Here is a 6873-nt window from a genome sequence, read left to right on the forward strand (position 1 = left end):
ATCATGGGTTCTCCCATGTACCTCATTCTTTCTTCCCATAGTTCCCTGGAGTTTACCTGACTTTCCTTTTTTGAAGTTCTCATTCCACATAGAACAGTTTGTAGAAAAGTATGTGTCCCAATACCATTCCCTGTTTCACTAATCTTGGAGAGAGATTTTATTCACGTGTCATAACACTCAAAAGGCACACAATATAGAGCCAAACACTACTAGCCTGTCTACTTCTCTGTCTTTCGGCCTCAGTTTTCCTCCCTGAAGTCACCACATTTCTAGTTCTTGAGGTGTTCTTGCAGAGCTGGGTTATGCACACACAAGCAAATGTTGCATATATGGATTAACTAAAATGATATCCTTTTAAGCACTGTTCAGTAATTTGCTTTTTCCCTTTTCTCTTCTATCCCTACAACTAAGCATGTAGGCCCTTCTTCTTCATTTAAGTATTTTTTAAGGAGAATGAAAAGGGCAATGACGAGAGTCCAGAAAGAGGATCCAGAACTGTAAAAGTTCTCACAGTGATATTTCTGAGGTCCTTGTACCTGAGAACTTCCTGCTTTTTCCCTTTTTCTCTACCTGAGGGTGTTATTCAATCTTATTTTCCTAACCCCTTTCAACCTTCTGAGTCCCTGACCCTATTCAGCATTTTTCTTCTGTCCTTTATTCATGATACTGACTCTCACTAGGAAGTGGGTCTGAATTTACAGTTAGGATGGAACAGTACTTATGAATAGCAAACCATTCAGGGACTTCCTAACCTCATTTGGAAATTACACATCTCAGAGGAATTTATGGTCACCTTGAGCAACCTCTCAACACAGTAAGTTAAGCAAGGGTCTCAGTTATGATGTTAAGAGTTGGAATTCAAAGAAAGGGGTAAATAGGAAAAACAATGCAAGAGAAATGTGATGCAATTTGATAAATGACTAGGTTCAGGGAATGGAGAGAAAGAAGTGAACTCTCTACGCCTTAGAATCAAGATTTTAAACTCAAGAGACTGAAAGAATGGTGGGATCACTATCAAACAAGACATTCTTTCAAAAGCTGCCTTTTTTTTTTGGTTGAATACTGTACACATCAGATTTTGGAGGCAGACCAAGCATGGGAAAATCTGTGGAGTAGCAGTTTGTCTCCAACCCTTTTCTGTACTTTTTCTGGCCCACCCTTCTCTCTGACTCCATGGGCCATTCTTCCACTGGATTGCCTGTCATCTAACTCTTGCTAAAGTGATGAACAGTATCAGGTGTGGGCTGATAAAGGCAAAAGTTGCATCCTGTCCCAGGGGTAGCTACAATTTAAAAGGAGAAATAAAGAAGACTTAAGACCAAAAAAAAAAAAATGCATCTACAAGAGTGGAATTAATGTGTCCTAGTTAATTTTTTAGACAAGCTGGTAGACCTCAGATCACATGGTGGTTTGTTAATCACAAGGTTAATTCTGTTCTATTGGGACCACTTAATTCCAAAGCTTCTCTTGCCTGAACACAGACTATAGCCTACTGATAGGGTTTTAGGCCTATTATTCTGTGAAGCACAAAGTTACTCTGTAGCCATCCATTCGGTTATTTTAAAATATAACAATAGAGGCTGAATAATATTCTTCTATATTTCCTGATAGTCTTTTTGGTGGAATTTTCTGTGGTCCAAATTGGCCTTCCCTTACTGGGACTATGTAACATTTAATATCTTGTTTAAAAAGAGAGAAAGCTTCATCATTACAACCAAAACTTTAATAAAGACACATGGCTCTTTTAAAAAGAAAACTGCCCACATTCCTAGTAAGTTGAACACAACTGAAACAGCTGATCTGTTATTATGGGCATGTACACTCAGACCAGAGCCAGGAACTCAGTAGTACACACATACAACAGTCACAAATTTAAATCCAGTTGAGTTTACCAGAGGTCCAGCTAACGTAGATATAAACTGCTTAACCTCCTCTAGGCATCTGACCTTGAAAATATTCACACTGAGAAGAAGCAGTATCACACAGTGGTGAAGAGCACAGGCACTGAAGCCAGGCTATTTGGGCTCAGATACTAGCTCTACCACTTACAGCATTCCCCCTTATCCATGGGGGTACGTTCCAAGACCCCCCAGTGGATGCTGTAAACCAGATAGTACTGAACCCTATATATACTATGTTTTATCCTATACAGCCATATCTATGATAAAGTTTATGAATTAGGCACAAAGATTAACAACTACTTGTAAAATAGAATAAAAGTTATGTGAATGTAGTCTCTCTCCCAAAATAAGTTACTGTGCTAACTCTTCTTCTTGTGGTGATGTGAGATGATAAAATGCCTACGTGATGAAATAAAGTGAGGTGAACGACATAGGCATTGTGACATAGTGTGAGGCTACTACTGACCTTCTGCCAACACGTCAGAAGGCTCATCTGCTTCAGGGGATCCTGGATCACTGAGCCATGATGATGTCAGGATTTTGACATCATCATGTCATCACCTGCTTCAGGTGATCCTGGATCATTGAGCCATGATGATCCATGGCTGGATGTCAGGAGCAGCTCATGATATTAATGGCCAGGTAGTGTATCCAGCATGAATACGCTGGATAAAGGGATGATTGATGTGCTGTGTTGGACAAAGAGGGGTGGCACAAGATTGCATCACGCTACTCAGAACAGTGCATAATTTAAAACTCATGAATTGTTTATTTCTGGAATTTTCCATATACCTGTATTATTATTTCTGGACTGCAGGTAACTGAAACCTCAGAAAGCAAAACTGTGGATAAGGGAGGACTACCGTACTACTTAGGTGACCTCGAGACATGTATTTAACCTGCTGTGCTTTGGATTCTGCAAAATGTGGACCACATTAATAACTACTCTGTAGAATGGCTGTGAATATAACATAATACATGGAAAGCACGTAGAATGGAGCATAGAACATCGTGCCATATAAGTGTTAGCTGTGTTCTTACTTAATAATAGAAACATTTTATATTCAGATTTTGTGGGCAATTTTGCAATTAATTTTAGTTTGTTAAAATGTGACCAATGGAAAAAAAGTATTAGCTTTTTTCTTTAATTACTTCTCCCTCTTCTACTGTAAGGTTTCCCTCTGACATCCCAGGGTCTAGTAATGGCATCCACATGTGGCAATAAACTATAGCAGTTAAGCCACAAGCTAAGCGGCTGAGGTATCAAGGGCACTTTGGGGTCATCCTTAAATATCCACTACCTATGAGGGCAACACAAATCTTTTTATTTTTTAATTTTTTTGAGACAGGGTGTGACTCTGTCACCTAGACTGGAGTGCAGCGGCATGATCTTGATTTAGTGCAGCCTCATCCTCCTGTGCTCAAGTGGTCTTCTCACCTCAGAGGGGTGAATAGCTAAATAGCTCCTGAATAGCTGGGACTCCAGGCATGCACCACCACACCTGGCTAATTTTTATACTTTTGTAGAAATGGGGTCTCACTATGTTGCCCAGGGTGGTCTCGAACTCCTGGGCTCAAGTGATTCTCCCGCCTTGGCCTCCCAAAGTGCTGGGATTACAGGCACGAGTCACTGCACCTGGCCAAACCTCTTTTTTATACCCCTGCTTTATCATGCTTTCTATGGGCAGGAGATCCAGTTTTGACTGAACTTAGCCAACAACTTCTCACTTCTGTTTCAAGCAAGCACACCTGACAATAGAGACAAAAGTTAAAAGACATTGCATAGGAAATACATTCCATATTCTTGTCATCTTTTTTTTTAAATAGTGTGCATGTGAAAGTCCGATTTTAAAGAGGTGACATGTGAATATTAGTTCCTTCAGTTAAAGGAGATACAAAGTCCATGTGAATATATCATTTCAATTGAAGGCAGATCTGTGGTACCTCAGAGTTTGGATAAAACTAATACCACTGAGAACTTAGATAACATCTGGATACTGAATGAACAGGTCTTTTTCATCACAATGTTTTATTATTATTGCACTGTGGAGCTACATAAATATTTGTTGAATATTTATACTAGGTGTTTTCCCTTTATATGAAATGTCTGTCGTGTAAATGTTAATATTTGTTGATCTGTTGTAGAGTAATGGTAATCTTAAGCATTTAAATAGTGAGGTTGAAAATATTTATTTAAAAGTATCATCATTTAGATACTATATCCTCTGTGTTTTGACATTTAACTAGGATAGCTTTTTCTAAAATACCATAGCAGAAAAAAATTCTATTCCATCTTGTTTTAAACAATCTGTATTTTTGTGGAGTTCAGCAGCATTTCAATACAGAAACAGTGAGTTTACTACTTTTAACTTAGCTTAGCTAATGAACACCAAATTAAAGTCACAGCCTTAAGACAGTTGGTACTGCTGTTGATAAAAAAAAAATTTACTTTGATAGCATTTTTAGGTATAAAAGTGGAGTATTTTAAAAGAGCTTCAGAAATCTGCAAGTTTTCTGAGAAGACAAATTATTTCCTGCTAAAAATATAGGGCTGAATCAAGTATCAATGTTAGGGATCTAATCTTGTTGACAAATTACAGAAACACAAAAAATATGTTTAAAATGTAGCTCATGCTAGGAGAATATATAAATTTACATGCTATATATATATATTTTTTTCCTTCAATCAATTTTCTAAGAAAGAGAATGAAGTCTTTTAATTTTGTATCAGTCTAGGAATAGCTCTGTTTCATATTCCATTCTGTGTCATCTCATATTTTACTCTTTTACCATATCTCTAGAAGTGGATCTCATATTGGATAATGGGATACCTGGCACAATTTGTCCAGGGATCTCAAAAGACCACATCTAGAAAAACATGACTTTTACCAAAGAAAAACACAGGGTTCTTCAGGGTCACATAACATGCAACAATGGGGCTGTAAGAGCTCAGCTGGCCACAACTGAATTAAGCACAATGCTCCTTTCTCTAAGCTGTGTTTGCTGAGACATCATTTACAGGGTCTCTCTCAGTATTAAAATCACAAGATACCTTAAGACACCTTAAGTCATAAAATTAATCCACTACCTCATCTCTTGGGTGTGAAGTGAGAGGGGCGTCTAGGAAACCTGGGCCCGAAACACTTTCTCAAAATGCCAAACATCACCTGTTAATTATCATTCTGTAGGTTGAAGTCTTTCTGGTCCTGAATATCTCCAGTTAAAGATCCTATAGACAATAAGTTATTAGTGATAAGCCTTTTTGGTGATTAGCTTGTTAGCTTACTGACAGTATATAATAAACCCACTGGAGATATGAAGAAGACTGGTGAGTTCTGTTGATGAGATGTGAAGAATTAATTTCTGCTCAGAAAGCCAGAAATGGGTAAGACATTATGATGTTAGGGGCCTGTAGAGTTGCCCAGCACAGAGAGGGATGTGTGGGGTGGGATGAAATGGAGAGGGCATCCTTTTGAGTGAGGTGGGAAATTTACACTGGAAGGAGAGAATGAAAGGTATCAAAAGTAAAGTCTTGGCTGGGCATGGTAGCTCATGCTGTAATCCCAGCACTTTGGGAGGCCAAGGTGGGTGGATCACTTGAGCTCAGGAATTCAAGGCCAGCCTGGGCAACATGGCAAAATCCTGTCTCTGTTGAAAATGCAAAAATTAGCTGGGCATGGTGGTGTTCCCCTGTGGTCCCAGCTACTTGGGAGGCTGAGGCACAAGGATTCCTTGAGCCCAGGAGGTGGAGGTTACAGTGAGCCGAGATTGCACCACTGCACTCCAGCCTGGGCAACAGAGTGAAACCCTATCTCAAAAAAAAAGTAGTCTCTCTTTCTCTGCATATCCATACAGATGCATATATACACACACGTGTGTGTGGGTGTGTGTGTGTGTTTCCTTCCCTCCCACCCCTGGTGATTCTAACCTAGCATCAGTGTGGTCTTTCATAGATTTTTAACTCTAAGATAGGGTTTTTAAATATAACTTTTGAAACAAAGCTTTCTGTGTAGAAAAGCATACGTCCTGTTAAGAGATAATCCTATGGTCTAAAGATATTTTGACATATTTAAGTGTTCTATGTGATTATATTTGCATAATTGTGATTATGCCTGTAAGATTTTAAAAGAATCTGAATATATGTGTCCTCAACTCTAAAAAAAAGTATTAAATGTTACCTTCAGGGGATTATGATTATCTTCAATGCTGTTTTTTTCTTGTGAGAAAACCTAAGAGCTGCTTCCCATGGTATACCTTCCGCTTCCTCCAAACTTGCCCTTTTGTCATGGTTCAATCATTTGCTTTGGTTTACTTTTAGCTGCTATTTAGAAGTTCTTCTTCCTCCACCCAAAGGGAGGCGGCTTCCTTAAGTTCAAGATTTTACTTCATTCTTCTTCCTTAGTTGAACCTCCATCCTTTCCCCTTCCTCTGTATCTCACCATGATAGCTATATTGTAATCTTTACTGTAGTACAATAGATATAAGGTAAAAATGGTTGACACATGTTAAAACTGTCCTGTTCAGACCAATCTGTGAGCCCTTTAGTTTTCAGTCTTGTGGAGGTGGGGGGTGGGAGAAGGGTTGGCGGACTGTTTGTCCTGAAGGCTTTTAAGCCCCATGCTAGGTTGAGTTCTCCCTTTCGGACACTGTCTTTGGAAAAGAAGTATATTTTCCTGTCTGGGGCCAAGTCCACCAGCTTTGACATCAAAGCTGCTCCCTTAGCTTTCTAGACCAACCTGCCCACTGTCTTCGAGGCTCTGCTCAGAATCACTGACATACCTCACTCTACTCGCCTTGGGCATCCATCTCCCAACCATCTCTCATTAGCAGATTCCAGACTTTAAGTTTATTCTTCCCTGTCCTTGCAATCAGATTCTTACAGTAGTGAGCTGAGTGTTCCCAGCCTCTCCCTCTATCGAATTTTCTCCCTCTGGTTCCCAGGAGAATATTTCTAGACCCACATCTTTGAAAA

This window comes from Homo sapiens, chromosome 6 (genome assembly GCF_000001405.40).
Source record: "Homo sapiens chromosome 6, GRCh38.p14 Primary Assembly".
Classification (NCBI taxonomy): domain Eukaryota; kingdom Metazoa; phylum Chordata; class Mammalia; order Primates; family Hominidae; genus Homo; species Homo sapiens.